Source organism: Homo sapiens, chromosome 19, assembly GCF_000001405.40.
Source record: "Homo sapiens chromosome 19, GRCh38.p14 Primary Assembly".
Classification (NCBI taxonomy): Eukaryota; Metazoa; Chordata; class Mammalia; order Primates; family Hominidae; genus Homo; species Homo sapiens.
This window is the reverse complement of record NC_000019.10, coordinates 57,781,128-57,800,761: the sequence shown is the minus strand read 5'-3', so window position 1 is coordinate 57,800,761 and position 19,634 is coordinate 57,781,128. Positions and strand designations below refer to the sequence as shown.

The window sequence follows — 19,634 nt, the reverse complement described above, 5'->3', positions numbered from 1 at the left end:
ATGCTTAGCCATCCCCAAACAAATGTATAGTGGTAAGTGGAAGACCTTTACTGGACACTCTGCCAAATAATTGGAGCAGTACTTGTGCTGTAATCCAATTGGGTATCCCCTTCATCCTGGCATTTCATCAATCTACAAAGGTAAAAACAAAACACCACAGGCCAAGAAAAACGTATGAGTCCTTTAATCCTCAGGTTTACATAAATGCTATTAAGGTCCTGTGAGAAGTGCCCGATAAGTTTAAAGCACAAAATCAAATAGCTGCAGAATTTAAATCCACATCATTCTGGTAACTATAAAAAAATGTAGACTAAGCTATGTTACAATCACCAACAATTCATAAATTACACTGAGGATACCATCAAACAGATAGCTAAGCAATTAGGATCTACTAGCCAGATGGCGTAGAAAAATAAAATAGCTTTAAATAATTAGCAGAAAAAGGAGATGTTTGTGTCATAATTAAAACTCAGAACCTCTGCAGAAAGAATTGATTCCTCAGCAGTGTCATGAAAGCAAACCAATTAATGTTGGTGAAGCTACAAAATTAATGCCTCAGTTGTAACAGAGTGGTAATGCGTCTAATTCCCCACAAAGACCAATAAATTAAATGTTTTATACAAAACTCAGTATTGTACCTTTGTTCCTAATAATACTGCCCCTGATAGAACTATAACAAAAGCGCTACCAAGGTTAACAGCCCTATCCGATAAATTTGCCAAGAATTGTAAAATAAATAACCCCTTTTCTAAAATAATAAAACATTAGTTCAGTGAATAAAAAGAAATTTTAACTTCAATTCTCACCTTGTTCACTCTTGTTATTAGTGTACTTATTCTTGTAGGCTGTTATAATATTCCCTACCTTCAAAGTTTTATACAAAAACTTGTCTCTGCCACTGTTACAGAGTTAACTGCTAACTCTCCTCCTCCCTATTAAAAAAAAATTACTTCTCTTAGAAGGACAAAAAAAGCAATTAAGTCAAAACATTAAATAAGTTTGAAGAGGAATTATGAAATAAAAAGAGGGGGAATATTGTTAAAAGTAAAGTACAGTTTCCTCTTCAAAGACTTTCCTCCCCATCTAATTAGGAATAAATAGTAACTTCTCTTAAAAGCGAAATTTATTGAAAGACTTGTGCTAGCATTCTTAAATATCTGCTAGCCATAATAAAGAAATCAATGTACTTTATGTTCTTAGCTCTGACAATTTAGCCTAAATATTTGCCCTGACATGCTTATACTGCTCCAAGCAAGCATTAGGTCATAGCCTGTTCCTCTTCCTTATTTAAAAGTGTTTTTACCTTTCTCAGCATTCCACAAGTTACTTCCTCCTTTCTTTGTTCTCCTCTACCTTTGCCTCTTAAAAGGTTCTAAGTTGCTAGCCAATCAGGACACATACAGAATATGAGGTCCTGTTCCAGGCAATGGAAACCGGCAGGAGGGTGAACGCCTCAGGTTATAAATGACCCTGTCTTCTTTGTTCAGTGTGCTCCTGTTGCAAAACTGCTGGCGAGTGCACCCTTTCTGCAGGAAGTAAAAATGGCCTTATGAAATACATCTATGTTCAAGTGCTATTTCTTTCTTTTTTTTGAGACGGAGTCTTGCTCTGTCGCCCAGGCTGGAGTACATTGGCACGATCTCGGCTCACTGCAAGCTCTGCCTCCCGGGTTCATGCCATTCTCCTGCCTCAGCCTCCCCAGTAGCTGGGACTACAGGTGACCGCCACCACGCCCAGCTAATTTTTTGTATTTTTAGTAGAGACGGCGTTTCACCATGTTAGTCAGAATGGTCTTGATCACCTGACCTCGTGATCCGCCGGCCTCGGCCTCCCAAAGTGCGGGATTACAGGCGTGAGCCACCATGCCTGGCCTCAAGTGCTATTTCTTTATGGCACTGAAGAATAAGCATTTCAAACAGTGACATAGGTCAGCAGGACTTGTTTCTGAGCAGTGGTCATGACCCTGCTCATGATGAAACAGGATCTGGTCAAAACAGGATGCACTAAAGAAACCAGCTGAAAGCAGTGAAACTGAGATGGCAATGAACATCAATTCTAGTTGCCCTCATTGCTCATTATATGCTCATTATAATGTATTAGCATGCTAAAAGACACTCCCACCAGCACCATGGCCGTTTACAAATGCTATGGCAATGCCCAGAAGCTACCTCATGTAGTTTAAAAGAGAAGGAACCCCTGGTTCTGGGAACTCTCCAACCTTTTTCTAGAAAGTTCATGAATAACCGACCTCTTATTTAGCACATAATTAAGGAGTAGCTATAAATATAGCTAGCCAACAATCCACGGGTGCTACTTTGCCTGTGGAGTAGCCCTGCTCTGTCTGTGGAGCAGCCATTTTCCTGTTCTCTTGCTCTCATAAACTTGCTTTGCCTTCACTTTACACTCTTGGCTTGCTCTTGAATTATTTCCTTTATGAAGCCAGGAATCCTCCTGGATTGAGCCCCAATTTTGGGATTTGCTAGCATCACTAGAGCAATTTTCTGTGGGAACCAGTGGCCAACTGCCAGCTTCACTACCTGCTTCAGGGTGTATCAACATCTGTCTATTTCCCTGTCATTACATCTTTATTATTTTTTTTTAATTTATTTTATTTTTTTGAGAAGGAGTCTAGCTCTGTTGCTCAGACTGGAGTGCAGTGGCGTGACCTCAGCTCATTGCAACCTCCACCTCCCGGGTTCAAGCAATTCTCCGGCCTCAGCCTCCTGAGTAGCCGGGACTACAAGCACCTACCACTATGCCCGGCTAATTTTTGTATTTTTAGTAGAGACGGGGTTTCACCATATTGGTCAGGCTGGTCTCGAACTCCTGACCTCGTGATGCGCCTGCCCCCAGCCTCCCAAAGTGCTGGGATTACAGGTGTGAGCCACTGTGTCCAGCAATTTATTTTATTTTTTTATTTTATTATTATTTTTTGAGACAGTCTCGCTCTTGTTGCCCAGGCTGGAGTGCAATGGCACGATCTCGGCTCACCGTAGCCTCCACCTCCAGGGTTCAGGCGATTGTCCTGCCTCAGCCTCCCGAGTAGCTGGGATTATAGGCATGTACCACCATGCCCAGCTGATTTTGTATTTTCAGTAGAGACGTGGTTTCTCCATGTTGGCCAGGTTGGTCTCAAACTCCCGACCTCAGGCCTCCTGAAGTGGTGGGATTACAGGTGTGAGCCATGGCACCCAGCCTTTATTTTTATTTTTTGTGGGTATATAATAGTGTATATATTTGTAGATTACATGAGATATTTTGATGTAGTCATGCCATATGTAATAATCACATCAGGGTTAATGGTGTCTCCATCACCTCAAGCATTTATCCTTTGTATTATAAACAATCCAATTATACCCTTTTAGTGATTTTCATATGTATGATTAAATTATTTTGACTACAGCCACCCTGTTATGGTAGCAAATACTCGGTCTTATTCATTTTTTCTAACTGTTTTTTGTACCCATCCTGTCATTATGTCTTATGGACAATTTTCTTTCGTTCCCAACAAAACAATGAAACTCACAAAACTGACTGTAATAATTTGGGTAACATGAATTTAAAGAGCAATCAATACTTAATGTTCTCAGCTCTGAGTGCACACATTGTAAGTCTGAATGATGCCAATGATATGGCCACTTAGATAAGTAAAGTTTGGGAGCATCTCAAATAGTTTTTTTATTCTCTGGGTGCAGGATGAGCTTCCTAGAGTCTTATGTGATACCTATTTGACGCTTTTACAAAGAATCAATAGTCTTCCTCCCTTGAGGTGTGAGCAGGGCTTTCCAGCAGCCCTCAGAGTGTAACATGGTCTGCATTCGGTTTGCTCTTGGAGGATACCACCATTGTTGGCTGAGAGCTCTGAGAAGTACTTTACCCAGAAGGTGCTAGTTGCAAGGCCCAGGATGAGGGATTTCTGGGCATGCTTGTCAGGCCAGGGAGTACTGGGTTGGGACTGAGAAGGCACAAGAGGAGTAGTCATCTCTGCTCCCAAGTGGCAGGTCTGAGGCTCATAGGCACTGGCTGGGGTGATGCCTACTCCACCCACAGTTGATGGCAGCAGCCACACTGAGGGACCTAGCTCAGGTAAATGCTGTGTATTACAGGCTTCACCCCAGGTAGAGTAATACAGGTAGAGGAACCAATAGGTGCAAAGGCTTGGAGGTGCATCTGAGCCATGAACATTTCAGAACCTGGTAACCATGTTGTGTCATGATCACATAAGTCCAGAAGTTTAAGACAGGCTTGGGCAACATAGTGAGACCCCGTCTCTCAAAAAAAAAAAAAGGCCCTAGTAAAAACTGAAGATGAGCCAGAGTCACACCTGTATTGGTTGTCTTAGGGGTTGTGCCTTCAATCTGAGTGTCCTGGGATGTATGGAGATTTGTGAACAGAAGAGGGTCATGTCCTTGGTAGAACTTTAAAAGTTTACAAAAGCCTCTCAGAGAACAGACTGGAATAAGGATGATGAGGACAATGAGGCACTGAGAAGTGGAGTCTTCTTTCTAGGCCATAGGTGGTAAGAAGGAGCACTGAGGATTGAAATCAGTTAATTAGTTAGCCCCAGGGCCCCTGGCTTTACGGTTGTGTAGGGATCAATGGAGGTTTGATCAGCTGGAGCTGGTCACAGTTGCCTTATTTTCATGGGTTCTGAACACTGAAAATGCTTATGGTGCCAACACAGGGAAAGAGAAAGTGTCCCAGTCTCTCCCTGAACCTGACACTACCTGTGTGGTGTCTGAGATTATGGTGTCTTGAGTGTTCACTTGATGTTTTCCCAGTTCTTGGCGTGGAGAACCTGTGGATACACCAAGCTCAGAGTCCTGAGTACCAGCCAAGGATTAATAGAAGTGTTCTTATTTCTGGCAACCAATGGAAACAGGTGTAGAAAGCTATTTTAGGAATTCATACCATTTTGTGCAAATGCTTTGAGGTGTGACTGAGCTGGGACCTATGTACGACAGGCATCTATTCTTTCTCATAGGAACAAGAAGCCGGGTCAAGATTCAGGCCTGTAATGTGGTTGCCTGAAAAGCTGGGCATCTGTTTTGGAGATGCTGGGATGCTTGGATGGGGAAAGAGGTGGTCTAATCCAGATGTTCATAGGATCTATCTGGTTGCACACTGGAGGAGAACAGACTCCTGGATTAATGAGGAGGCAGTTAGCACGGAGGGAAGTTTACCAGCATAATTCAGATGAGTTGATGGACCAGGTGAATGCCGTGCAGATGGGAGAAAAGGAGACATTCTACCTATATTTTTAATAAAGGAACAAGTAGATCTTTGCATGTTGTAGGTGAGGGAGAGAGAGAGAAGGGTCAATGATGTGACCCCTGGTTTTTTTTTGTTTTTTTTTTTTGAGACGGAGTTTTGCTCTTGTTGCTGAGGCTGGAGTACAGTTGTGCCATCTCAGCTCACTGCAAATTCTGTCTCCCAGGTTCAGGTGATTCTCCTGCCTCAGCCTCCCGAGTAGCTGGGATTAGCCCGCCACCATGCCTGGCTAATTTTTGTATTTTTAGTAGAGATGGGGTTTCACCATGTTGGTCAGGCTGGTCTTGAACTCCTGATCTCAGGTGATCTACCCACCTCGACCTCCCAAAGTGCTAGGATTATAGGCGTGAGCCACTGGCCCAACCATATTTTATTTCTTAATGAAAACGGAAATAGGCAAAATACATTTGAGAAGAAGAAAATGAGTTGCCAGACATAGTGCTTTGAGAGGGTGAGGTGAGAGGATTGCTTGAGCCTAGGAGTTTAAGGCCAGCCTGAGCAACATAATGAGATCCTGTCTCTACAAAAAAATTTAAAAATTCGGTGGGTGTGCTGGCATGTGCCTGTAGTCCCAGTTACTCAGGAGGCTGGGGTGGGAGGACGCTTGAGCCCAGGAGGTTGAGGTTGCAGTGAGCTATGATCAAACTACTGCCCTCTTGGCTGGGTGACAGAGCAAGATCTTTTCTCTAAAAATAAATAAGAATTTAAAAAGCAAGCAAAATATATAAATAGACATTTTACTAAAGAAGGAACATCCACTTATAAAAAAGGGTAAAAATTTAAAAGACTATCCATATTCTCTGCTGGGCACGGTGGCTCACACCTGTAATCCCAGAACATTGGGAGGTTGAGGCGGGCAGATCACAATGTCAAGAGATTGAGACCATCCTAGCTAACAGGGTGAAACCCCATTTCTATTAAAAATACAAAAAATTGGCCGGGTGTGGTGGCCCACGCCTGTAATCCTAGCACTTTGGGAGGCTGAGGTAGGTGGATCACGAGATCAAGATCCTCCTGGCTAACATGGTGAAACCCTGTCTCTAATAAAAATACAAAAAAATTAGCCGGGCGTGGTGGCATGCATCTGTAGTCCCAGCTACTAGGGAGGCTGAGACAGAAGAATTGCTCAAACTCAGGAGGCGGAGGTTGCAGTGAGCCGAGATCACGCCACTGCACTCTATCCTGGGCGACAGAGAGAGGCTTTGTCTCAAAAAAAAAAAAAGACTATCCATATTCTGTATCGATAAAAACATGAAAGTGGAATTCATGGACACTGGTGACAGTAACACTAAAGGGAACAACCATATTAATTTTACAGTACACTTTGGTGTTGCCTAAAAAGCTATACATTTGCTGGATGCAGTGGCTCATGCCTATAATCCCAGCACTTTGGGAGGCTGAGGTAGGTAGATCACGAGGTCAGGAGTTCAAGACCAGCGTGGCCAAGATGGTGAAACCTCACCTCTACTAAAAATACAAAAAAATTAGCTGGGCATGGTGGCATGTGCCTGTAGTCCCAGCTACTTCGGAGGGTGAGCCAGGAAAATTGCTTGAACCCACGAGGCAGAGGTTGCAGTGAGCCGAGATTGCATCACTGCACTCCAGCCTGAGTGACAGAGCGAGACTCCATCTCAAAACAGACAAACAAACAAAAAGCTATAGATTTACCTATTCTGATTCAGTTATTGAACCCCCAGATAGTAACACATAAAAAAGAAACATATTTACATAAAGAACTGTACTAAAGTGTCTGTAGTTTTATTTATGGAAGCCAAAAATGAGAAATAGATTAATGATGTATAAACAGATGAATGAATATACAGTGATATTTCATAGCATGTCATCTCAGCAATATAAAAAGGAGTGAACTACTCAAGTATCATCACTGACAAATCTCAAAATAAATATACCGCACGATACCATCCAGGGATAAAGATTAAACACTTCACGACATCAAATCACGTATAAAAATGTAGAAAATGTAAAATAATCTATTATAAAGCAAAGTTATCAATGGTCATCTGGAAGGCAGAGGTAAAGACGTTACCAGACTCCAGGTAAATATGAAGGTGATGGATCATATTACAGGCTTATTAATGTCAAAACTTATCACACTTTACAGTTTAAATATGTGCAGTTTTGGCCAGGCACGGGGGCTCATGCCTGTAATCCCAGCACTTTGGGAGGCCGAGGCAGGCGGATCACATGGCCAGGAGATCGAGACCATCCTGGCTAACACGGTGAAACCCTGTCTCTACTAAAAATAGAAAAATTAGCCGGGCGTGGCTGTGGGCGCCTATAGTCCCAGCTACTCAGGAGGCTGAGGCAGGAGAATGGCATGAACCCAGGAGGCGGAGCTTGCAGTGAGCTGAGATTGTGCTACTGCACTCCAGCCTGGGCGACAGAGCCAGACTCTGTCTCAAATAAATAAATAAATATAAATAAAAATAAATATGTGCAGTTTTTTTGAAAGTCATTTATTTTGGCCAGGCATGGTGGCTAATGCCTGTAATCCCAGGACTTTGGGAGGCCGAGGTGGGCGGATCACCTGAGGCCAGGAGTTTGAGAACAGCCTGGCCAACATGGTGAAACCTCACCTCTACTAAAAATACAAAAAATAGCTGGGCATGGTGGCAGGTGCCTGTAATCCCAGCTACTCGGGAGGCTAAGGCAGGGGAATCGCTTGAACCTGGGAGGCAGAGGTTGCAGTGACCCAAGATCGTGCCACTGAATTCCAGCCTGGGCAACAAGAGCGAGACTCCATCTCAAAGAAAAAAAAAAGTGATTTATTTCTTATTACAGCTTTAAAAATGTAATTTTAAAAATCTGGACTTGATTTTTCCAAGAGGTTTATTAACTATTGCTGTATCATCTCCTCAACCTGAGTGAGGCAACTAGCCTTCATGGTAACAAAAACATGACGAACAATAAAGACCATTTCCAGATGATTCAGAAAGAATGACGGCTGGTCACATGATGGGCCACGTAGTGGTCTAATGGACATCCCTGCTCCCTTTCTTCTTCCTCCTGCCTATGCAGGAATGACCTTTAGGTCAATTAGACTAGAAGGACTACCACAAATAACAAAATCTTTAGGTTATTCTCTCCAGCAGTGACCTTAGCCACATAAGATTCAATTAAGAAGGTCCTGAGAATTTCTGTTTGTATTCATCCTTCACAGCCATGTCTGGATCATAGTAGAAGCCCTTTTAAAATGCAGTAATTCCGAAAAACTTATCATTTCCACTATAACCTCACAACCTGTGAAGGTACCCTCAACAGCACTGAAACATAATGCACCATCCCTTGTGAAGTAGAGAACAATTTCATGTTGCTCTCAGAAGCACCAGAGATTGTGATGAAAACTGCCACCCTTTCAGGTTGACCTATGAACCCCAAAATTATGGTATTTTTGAGATAGTTTCGCTCTTGTTGCTCATCCTGGTATGGGGTGGCATTACCTGAGCTCACTGCAGCCTCCACCTCCCAGGTTAAAGTGATTCTTGTGCCTCAGCCTCCCAAGTAGCTGGGATTATAGGCGAATGCCACGATGCCTGGCTAATTTTGTATTTTTAGTAGAGATGGGGTTTCAGCATGTTGGCCAGGCTGGTCTGGAACTCCTGACCTCAACTGACCCTTCTGCCTCGGCCTCCCAAAGTGCTGGTATCACAGGCATGAGCCACCATGCCCATCTGCAAATCCAGTGTTCAAACAATTCCACACTGTAAATACAGCTCTCAAGATTGAAGGTGTCTTAAGCAGCAGAGTCTTTATTATAATACAAACAAGGGAAATAGGCGGCAGGCAGGCTGTCTGATTTGTGACTGGCAGGCTGGAAAATTCTATCTTAAGAATGCTGTGAGGGCCGGGCACGGTGGCTCACGCCTATAATCCCAGCATTTTGGGAGGCTGAGGCAGGTGGATCACGAGGTCAGGAGATCGAGACCATCCTGGCTAACACAGTGAAACCCCATCTCTACTGAAAATACAAAAAAAAAAAAAAAAAAAAAATTAGCCGGGCGTGGTGGCGGGCACCTGTAGTCCCAGCTACTTGGGAGGCTGAGGCAGGAGAATGGTGTGAACCCGGGAGGTGGAGCTTGCAGTGAGCCGAGATTGCGCCACTGCACTCCAGTATGGGTGACAGAGCGGGACTCCATCTTAAAAAAAAAAAAAAAGAATCCTGTGAGATCCAAGAGATCCCTGAAAAAGGTAGTCCATCTTTTCAAATCACCAGAAGAGTTCTCTGCACCAAAAATTAGTCAGGTCCTTGGCCTACCTCATCAGACACAAAGAATTGAGAATGGAATGAGTACTGAGGATACTAAAAAATCCCCCTGGTGAATGAAAGAAAAAGTTACGTCTGGATCATAATGAGGTAGGGGAGTGATGAAACTGTGAGTACCTGCCAAGTGGTAAAGGTGAAATGCTTTTTGCAAGATAACTGGCAGTCACATAAGTCTGGCAAGGGACACAGGCAGGCTGAAAAATGCAATGGGGGCGGGGCGCGGCGGCTCATGCCTGTAATCCCAGCACTTTGGGAGGCCGAGGCGGGCGGATCACGAGGTCAGGAGATCGAGACCATCCTGGTGAACACGGTGAAATCCCGTCTCTACTAAAAATACAAAAAATTAGCCGGGCGTGGTGGCGGGCGCCTGTAGTCCCAGCTACTCGGGAGGCTGAGGCAGGAGAATGGCATGAACCCGGGAGGCAGAGCTTGCAGTGAGCCGAGACTGCGCCACTGCACTCCAGCCTGGGCGACAGAGCGAGACTCCGTCTCAAAAAAAGAAGTCTTAGATCTGCACAGTCACCCAGAAAGGCAGAAGACAACCAAGGTGGGATGCATTAGGGTGACTTTAAGACTCCTGACCCTAACTCTTTCCCTGGGAGCCTGCAACAAAGCAGACTGGGGCTGCTCAAGGAAAGGAGAGGGCAGTACATGTATCTCAGTACTACCAACCACAGAACTGATCCAGAGAATTGGAGAATGAAGCTGTGCCACAGTCCTGATGTGAGAAAGACGTTATTACCAAGAGGAATAAAGGGGAGGGGCAGAGACTAACTCAGGTCACAGTTAAGTATGAGTACCTTACCCAGGGAGGATATAAGTGTCAAGGTCTCCAGCATCACATCATGGTACAGGCATCCCTGAGCCTCATTAAGAAGACTCCATTCCTCCAGGGAAAAGTTTACAGCCACGTCTTCAAAGGTCACACTGCTCTGTTATGATGGGGATAGATGAAACCATAAATGGCCCCTGTGCTGAAGACCCACAATCCACTTCCCCAACATATCTACCCTTGCCCATCCTCCTTCTCCCAGGATCCCCAACTCAGAGGAGAAACTTTGCCCACTAGTGCCACTGTGTCCTCATGGGACCACTGATCATGACACATAGCCATCAGCAACAAGAGGCAGATAAACAAATAGATATCTATGCTGTGATCCTGAAATAAGGGGTTCCATCCCCTCCTTTCTAGCAATTCCCCTGGTATAGCAAAGGTCACATGAATCCCAATGCAGTGCCTAAGAACCTTCAAACATAATCCCTGTGTACCTATACATCCTTCCCATCTTTGGACACCAAAGACACATGTCAATTGCCACCAACACCTAACTCCCCCACACCATAGACCTCTCTCTGGCCTTGCCAGAAGTTAAAGTATTTTATTCCCCCTTTCTTCTACTGATAAGGGTAGGAGTCTTACCCTAGGGTTATAGTGATGGCCAAACACACAACACCTGATGCTGAACATAAGTCATCAAGAAAGTTAATTAATCAAATATGCTCACAACTTGAGAGAAGAGGACACCACTCACCACAGATAGCCACATGGGGGTTGCACTATGCATAAGAGAGAGCAACCAGGGACTGTGGTATGTAAGCTTTTCTGAATCAAGAAGGTGTGATAGCCCCTGATTCCCTTGAAAGGATGCAACTGGCTTGTTTTTAATTTTTGAGACAGGGTCTCGCTCTGTCACTCCTGCTGGAGCGTAGTGGTGCAATTACAGCTCACTGCAGCCTGAACTTTCCAGGTTTCAGGGATCCTCCTACCTCAGCCTCCCGAGTGGCTGGGACCATAGGTGTGCGACACCACACCCAGCTGTAACTGGCTTGTTTGAATTAACTCTGTGTGTAGAAATGAAATTCAAACTTGCTACAAATAAATAATAAACAGGAACTCTGCTTAGTCCTCTTGATTAAAAGGGTAGTTAGGCTAGGACACATTATACAAAAGAGCAGAGTGGGAAGGGGGATTTGTACTCAGACCATTTGAGGTAATACTAGTATCACCAGATATGAAGGTAGCACATGATATTGACCTTAAATTTAGGGCTCACACCATAATGTGGCTGACATCATCCACAGTAGTCTTGGTGAATTAAAAAGCAATCCAAAATTATCACAGAATTCCAATGGTTCCTAATAGCAGTGGTAGTACCAAGTCATTATACGAAGCCCTCCATGCATAAATCCACAGGAAAAAAGAACGTTAGTGTTTTCAGGTATTCATGGCCCTATTCCACTTCTGTGCTGCATTTGTTATCTTCAGAAATTATGACTTTCTTCTGTCCACCTAACTCCATTCAAAGCCTAGACCCATTGGCCGTCAATCTCGGGCCTAGTGACTCTCACAAGGTGACCTTATTTGCCTCCATATCCACCAGGCTGAATGAAACACCCCAGGCCCCACAAAAGTCATCTCAATATCGTGGTGTGGCCACAGAGTGGCGAATTAGCACAAGGTCCAGGCTGAGTGTCATCTTCCCTCAGCTACTCCTATGCTTCTGCTTGCATCTCATGTCTATTCATTCCTTGGAAGCCTATGTCACCTGCCAAACTAGGCTACCAGATATATTCTCCCTTCATGGCCATTTACCTCCCTCACCTGTTTTCTGAAGTACAATACCATCACCAGGTACACAAGCAGGCAACCCAACCTCCACTTCCTGTCTTCCTAGTAGTGTCACCACCATAATCTGAAGGTTGCCCCTTCCAAATGTGATCCATGACTCACTCATCTTGCTCCACACAGTGGCTACCATATATTGGATAGCTCCAATATTAACCCTTCCCCAGATATTTGCATCCATGGGTTTAGGTGCCCATTTGATAGCTCCACTAAGTATTATCTATTACATTTCAGAATCTTAACATGGCTGTGGTATTGTGAAATATATATTTGGTCATCTCCTTTCCTGGCATGGAACTCCTAAAATTCATGAAACTCTCAAATTTATAAGTGACTTTGAATGGTAATGAGTTGAATGATGGTTGGTAACCCCTAGATAACTTCAGGATGGAGACTGGTCAGGGAAAAGACTGTCAGGATTTGAGCATCTGGACTAGGGCAGTAGCTTCCAGTTTGATCTTCCTCCTCCCTCAACCCCACAGTCTGTTGTCCACTCTGTAACCAGACAGAACCTGTTAAAACACTGGTAACATCATTTAACCCCCTCCAGTTTCACTTTCTTTTTTTTTTCGCGATGGATTCTCACTTTGTTGCTCAGGCTCGAGTGCAGATTGGCACAATCTTGGCTCATTGCAGCCTCCATCTCCCAGGTTCAAGGGAGTCTTACACCTCAGCCTGCGAGTAGCTGAGATTCCAGGCACCCGCCACCATGCCCAGCTGATTTTTGTATTTTTAGTAGAGACTGGGTTTTACCATGTTGGCCAGACTGGTCTAGATCTCCTGACCTCAAGCGATCCACCCGCCTTGACCTCCCAAAGTGCTGGGATTACAGGCGAGAGCCACCACGCCCGGCCTCTCCAGTTTCACTTCTAAGCCATTTCCACATCCCAGTATCATTCCTGGGTTAATCCACCACATGTGTTTCCCACCGGTCGACAGACATGAAAACACTTCTCCATAGCCTGTGTCAGTGACTTAGGTTTGGGGTTTGAGGATTTTGCAAGATCCCCAGATCGAAGGACAGGAGAAATTGCACTTAAGAGTCCTAGGAGGCCTGGCCAGACCAGCGGCTCACGCCTGTAATCCCAGCACTTTAGGAGGCCAAGGCGGGAGGATTGCTTGAGCCCAGGAGTTTTCGACCATCTTAGGCAACATGGCAAAACCCCGTCTCTATTAAAAACACAAACATTAGCCAGTTTCTCGGGAGACTGAGATGGGAGGATCACCTGAGCCTGGGGAGGTCAAGACTATGCTGAGCCATGATCGCGTCACTGCACTCCAACCTGGGTACCAAGAGTGACACTCTGTCGCTAAATAAATAAATTCCCAGGACATTAAGATCTAGACATATAGGTGAGGATGAGGACCAGTGAGGGACTAGAGCATCCTATACTTCCTTCTGTGGGTTCCTTAAATACTTCCATAGCCATGAGAAGGTGTGCCAAAAGGCGGAGCTTTCAGGAATGTGTCCCTGCTGGGATTTGATAGACTCAGGTTTCTCTGTAAGCTTTTTTTGGCCCTGTAGCCAGGTGACCTCAGGCTGAGTCTCTAATCTTGTGGCCCAGTGCTCAATGTCACCTCTTACCAGCTACGTGACCTTGAGCAAATATTCAACCTCTCAATGCCTCACTGTCCTCATCACCGCCTTACACTCCGTTCTTCCTTTGAACATCTTTTCGGAATCTTTAACTCTAACACAGATTTCCTCCTTTGTTCAAAACTGTCCATGGCTTCTACGGTCCTCACAAAGATCAATCCTCAGCCTGGTACTGAGGAAATAACTCCGACTCATACTTTGTTCTCAGTGGACACAAGATGTCCCTGTGTTCCGAATCCTCCTGGCGCAGTCGTGCCTCCAGGCCTTTGCCTAAGCCGGTCCCTCGGCCAGTCTCGCTCTCCCGACCGCATCAACCGGTGTCGGAAACAGGGATTCCACCCGCCGGCGCCTCTAGGTCCCTGACAGAGGCCTGAGCTGCAAGGACGCGAGGAAGCGCCCCTCACAGTCAGGGGTCTCAGGGTCTGTGTGGGGATGGCGGGTGAGGCCTGGAGGTCGCAGGGCTCACTTGAGCGGCCGCCGCCACGACTTCATGCGCGGGCGGGGACGCAGGCCAGGCGGTTCCTGTGCTCGTCCTGTCCCAGGTCGCGACCAGCGGCGTCGCCAAGCCTCAGATCCGCCTGTGTGCAATGGGCACAACCACTCCTCTCGCGCGCTCTCGGTCCTGACAAAGAGGTACAGACGCAGCATAGGTGGATGGTCCCGACAAGCCAAAATGGCCACCGCGGCGAGGACGCAGGAAGTCCCTGCTTGACGTTACGTGCCTCCGCAATGGCGCGGCTTCTCTGAGGCTTCAATGGGCTTTCCAATTCACAGAGACGATTCCGGGTAATATTTAAGTTCCGAGAGACGCGCGGCGCTTAAAGGCCGCCTCCAACCTGACTTTCGGAAGAAGGGGCTAAGCTCCACCGCGACGGGCGTTAGGAAATGGCAACTCCAGGTCCAGTTGCAGAGGAGGCTCCCCCATCTTAGAAGAGGCCATACGCGCATTTCTGCGGGTACTGTGTGCAACCGATTACCCGTGTGTTTGGAGACTTATTTCAGAATTTGTGATGCTGAGCTTCTTCGCAGATCTAAGACATCATTTGAGATGCCATCAAGAGCCACGAATCAAAATGGACATTTCATTACATAGGGTCATAAAGACATAAATTGCATCTACTGGAAGCTAAAGCTAGTGTGTGTGTGTGTGTGTGTATATATATATATATATATATATATATATATATATATATTTTTTTTTTTTTTTTTTTTTTTTTTTTTTTAGAACGGAGTCTGGCTCTGTAGCCCAGGCTGGAGTGCAGTGGCGCGATCTCGGCTCACTGCAAGCTTCGCCTCCCGGGTTCACGCCATTCTCCTGCCTCAGCCTCCCGAGTAGCTGGGACTACAGGTGCCCACCATGCCCGGCTAATTTTTTTGTATTTTTAGTAGAGACGGGGTTTCACTGTGTTAGCCCGGATGATCTTGATCTCCTGACCTCGTGATCCGCCCGCCTCCGCCTCCCAAAGTGCTAGGATTACAGGCGTGAGCCACCGCGCCCGGCATAAAGCTCATAAATATTTTTAAAGGCTATATATACATATAATACATATGAATGTATATGCATGCTTTGTACTACACATAAATTTGTAAAAATTTCATTATGATTTGAAAATTAACCAGTTATTTTAAATGGAATGAGAATTAAAAAGTATTACAGTAACATTCTGACTTAGAATATTGACATAATATTCATTCATTACTTATATATATGTTTTGTTGAGACGGTGTCTTGCCCTGTCGCCCAGGCTGGAGTGCAGTGGTGTGATCTCAGCTCACTGCAACCTCCGCCCGGAGGGTTCAAGCAATTCTCCTGCCTCAGCCTCCCAAGTAGCCAGGATTACAGGAATGTGCCACCACACCCAGTTAATTTTTGTATTTTTTAGTAAAGACAGGGTTTCACCATGTTGACTCGGCTGGTCTCAAACTCCGGACCTCAGGTGATCCACCTGCCTTGGCCTCTCAAAGTGCTAGGATTACAGGCGTGAGCCACTGCTCCAGGCCAGTAGTCACTTATATTTTATCAGGCACATTTTACTGAACTGGATTTTATTATCTTATTTATTTGAGATGAGTCTCACTCTGTCGCCCAGGCTGGAGTGCAGTAGCACATCTCGGCTCACTGCAACCTCCGCCTCCCGGGTTCAAGCAAGTCTCCTGCCTCAGCCTCCTGAGTAGCTGGGTCTACAGGCACATGCCGGCTCGTCCGGCTAATTTTCTGTATTTTAGTAGAGACAGGGTTTCACCGTCTTGCCCAGGGTGGTCTCGAACTCCTGAGCTCAGGCAACCCGCCTGCCTCAGCCTCCCAAAGTGCTGGGATTACAGGCGTGAGCCACCGCACCCGCATGAACTGAATTTTTTTAAAGAGACTATGTCGCCCAGGCCTTACTCAAACTCGAGCTCATGTAATCCTCCTGTTTCAGCCTTCTGAGAAGCTGGGACTACAGAGCCATGGTGCCTGGCTTTAAAGTAAATTTCTTAAGAGTCTAAAATTCTCCAGCTTCCTAGTGCATTCAAATGAAGAATGATTGAAATAAAAATGCTACTTGTTTTCCCAAGTTATTCTCTGTTGCTAACATTTTATTAATTTGAAAAAGTAAAACTTGCATTAAAATTCTGGAAAGAAAAAAAAATGTCTCCTAATAAACCAGAAACTTAACTATGGAAACAGAAGATTCAGTATGTAGAATAATGTACTCTAACAGCATTTGCCACTGTGCATTTTAGGATCATGAATTGGATCAGTTTAAAGATATTTGAAAAATAATTAATTAGGCTGGGCATGGTAGCTCACGCCTGTAATCCCAGTACTTTGGGAGGCCGAGGCGGCTGGATCACCTGAGGTCAGGAGTTCAAGACCAGCCTGGCCAACAATGGTGAAACCTCATCTCTACGAAAAATAGAAAAATTAGCCAGGCGTGGTGGCAGGCACCTGTAATCCCAGCTACTCGGGAGGCTGAAGTAGGAGAATCACCTGAACCTGGGAGGCAGAGGTTGCAGTGAGCTGAGATTGTGCCACTGCACTTCAGCCTGGGCCACAGTGAGACTCCGTCTCAAAAAAAAAAAAAAGAAAAAAAAAAAAGAAAGAATTAATTAACCAGGTAGACCAAGTAGAGGTTAGTAAAGTTACTTGTTTTAGAGTAAGTAATTCAAGGAGAAAATATACTACAACAAATTTATTTATTTATTTATTTTTTTGAGACGGAGTTTCACTCTATCACCCAGGCTGGAGTGCAGTGGAGCCATCTTGGCTCACTGCAACCTCCACCTCCCAGGTTCAAGCAATTCTCCTGCCTCAGCCTCCCGAGTAGCTGGGACTGCAGGTGCATGCCACCACACCCGGCTAATTTTTTATTTTTAGTAGAGACGGTTCGCCATGTTGGCCAGGCTGGTCTCAAACTCCTGACTTCAGATGATCTGTCTGCCTCAGCCTCCCAAAGTGCTGGGATTACAGGTGTGAACCACCATGCCCGGCCAACAACAACAAATTTACATAAATTATGTAAAAATTTATCAGGGAATATATTGATTTATATATCACATTAAAATTGAACAAAACTAAGAAATTACTAGCATAATCAAAATACCAAAAAGTTAGAATGATAAAGCACACTAATATATTGAGAATAGGAAGGAAATCTAAATATTTTGTACAGAAATTTTCTTTTTCTTTTTTTGAGACGGAATTTTGCTCTTGTTGCCCAGGCTGGAGTGCAACAGCGTGATCTCGGCTCACCGCAAACTCCACCTCCCAGGTTCAAGCGATTCTCCTGCCTCAGCCTTCCCAAGTAGCTGGGATTATAGGCATGCGCCACCAAGCCCAGCTAATTTTGTATTTTTAGTACAGATGGGGTTTCTCCATGTGGGTCAGGCTGTTCTCGAACTCCTGACCTCAGGTGATCCACCCACCTTGGCCTCCCAAAGTGCTGGGATTACAGGCGTGAGCCACCAAGCCTGGCCTTATACAGAAATTTTCACATAAATTTTAGTCATATATAAGCAGAACAGGCCGGGCACGGTGGCTCACGCCAGTAATCCCAGCACTTTGGGAGGCTGGGGCGGGTGGATCACCTGAGGTCAGAAGTTCAAGACCAGCCTGGTCAACATGGTGAAACCTCGTCTCTACTAAATATACAAAAAATTAGCTGGGTGTGGTGGTGGACAACTGTAATCCCAGCTACTCGGGAGGCCGAGGCAGGAGAATCGCTTGAACCCAGGAGGCGGAGGTTGCAGGGAGCCAAGATCGTGCCACTGCGCTCCAGCCTGGGCAACAAGAGCAAAACTTTGTCTCAAAAAAAAAAAAAAAAAAAAAAAAAAGAAATGTTGTATTAATTATACAGACAAGAGCCTACAGATCCTAAAAGTGCTCTCATTACTAAAAACTTTGTCTTTATAAACTACAGATTTTCTCTGACTACAAAGGTTTTGTGGGAATATAATTAGGGTGTTATCAAGAAAATTTTGGTTGGGCGTGGTGGCGCACGCTTGTACTCCCAGCACTTTAGGAGGCTGAGGCAGGCGGATCATCTGACGTCAGGAGTTTGAGACCAGCCTGGCCAACATAGCAAAACCCCGTCTCTACTAAAGATACAAAAATTATCCGGGCATGGTGGTGGGCACCTGTAATCCCAGCTACTCTAGAGGCTGAGACAGGAGAATGACTTGAACCTGGGAGGTGGAGGTTGCAGTGAGCTGAGATCACGCCATTGCACCCCAGCCTGGGCAACAAGAGTGAAACTCTGTCTCAAAGAATAAAAAATAAAAGAGAAAATTTCACTCTCCACGGAAGTGACAGGAAGATATGTATCAGCGAGTGTGAGTGGTCATAACATGGTTAATCTGAATAAGCCATTTTATGACTTCTAGATGACATCCCACACACCTGTATTGATTCAGAATCACTGGACATCTTTCCAGCAAGGGAATAAAATACTAGTAACTGAAAATAAAATGTACCTATAAAACATGATGTCATTAAGTAACATTTAGGGATTGACATGTTTTACATCCTTAACTATCTTGCTATTTGTAATTTACAATTTTTATTCATGTAACTTAAGTATTTTTCCATTCACTAAATGGGACAGGAAGTTTTAACTCTTGCATTCAACACGTTAATGCAATAGCCCTGCAGCTCGCATTTGTAAATCATGTTCCCAAAAGGATAAAAATGCATATACAAAAAATGTTATAAGGACACTAAACATCTACTCAAAAAAGTCTTCTTGTTCTTCACTTTATGTGAGTAAAGCTTTTTTTTTTTTTTTTTTTTTGAGACAGAGTCTTGCTCTGTCGCCCAGGCTGGAGTGCAGTGGTGCGATAATTTCTCATCATCCACCCTCCATCACTTCTAAATTGTCTAAGATATGACAATTTCTTCTAAGATTTTGACACTTATCTGGGAATAGTAATTGTTTATTAAATCAATATTTGCCATGGTGGTTGCAATGCTGACATTCCTGCAGGTGTGGAATAAGACCATCTGATTCCTGAGAAATTATCTTGTATTCCATGATCCAACCTCCTTGCTAGGAAGTGATTATCATTTCACCTGTAGGTGCAGTGATAGTGTCTGCATGAAGACTGGGGATTATCTCTGAAAAACAGCTGAGGACTAAGCTAATTACAAAGTTATTAATGTGGATTCAGAGAGTTATCCATTGACAATGGCATAAGTAGCTAGTAAAGTTTCTGTGATGGCCAAGAACACATTAAGTCTCAGTGGATAGTAAGTAGAGGACAGTAAGCTCTAAGTTCTCAGATAATTAAGTGAAACTCATGGCTATCCTGAAAACTTGGCTAACATGAAATTCTTATTTCAATGAAGTGCGTATCCTTTCCATTTATGGGAACTCTGA

General features: G+C 44.6%; 4 annotated features.

The window, feature by feature from the left end:
- Positions 1,774 to 2,321: an enhancer, noted in NCBI's record as "H3K27ac hESC enhancer chr19:58309809-58310356 (GRCh37/hg19 assembly coordinates)". NCBI's record gives its function as "activates a minimal SCP1, AML or CMV promoter by ChIP-STARR-seq in primed H9 embryonic stem cells {active_cell/tissue: H9 hESC(primed)}" and the evidence as "EXISTENCE:reporter gene assay evidence [ECO:0000049][PMID:30033119]".
- Positions 11,220 to 11,366: a silencer, noted in NCBI's record as "fragment chr19:58300764-58300910 (GRCh37/hg19 assembly coordinates)". NCBI's record gives its function as "represses an EF-1alpha promoter that drives an FKBP-Casp9 reporter gene in an ReSE screen in K562 erythroleukemia cells {active_cell/tissue: K562}" and the evidence as "EXISTENCE:reporter gene assay evidence [ECO:0000049][PMID:32094911]".
- Positions 13,766 to 14,384: an enhancer, noted in NCBI's record as "H3K27ac-H3K4me1 hESC enhancer chr19:58297746-58298364 (GRCh37/hg19 assembly coordinates)". NCBI's record gives its function as "activates a minimal SCP1, AML or CMV promoter by ChIP-STARR-seq in naive H9 embryonic stem cells {active_cell/tissue: H9 hESC(naive)}" and the evidence as "EXISTENCE:reporter gene assay evidence [ECO:0000049][PMID:30033119]".
- Positions 14,385 to 15,004: an enhancer, noted in NCBI's record as "H3K27ac-H3K4me1 hESC enhancer chr19:58297126-58297745 (GRCh37/hg19 assembly coordinates)". NCBI's record gives its function as "activates a minimal SCP1, AML or CMV promoter by ChIP-STARR-seq in naive H9 embryonic stem cells {active_cell/tissue: H9 hESC(naive)}" and the evidence as "EXISTENCE:reporter gene assay evidence [ECO:0000049][PMID:30033119]".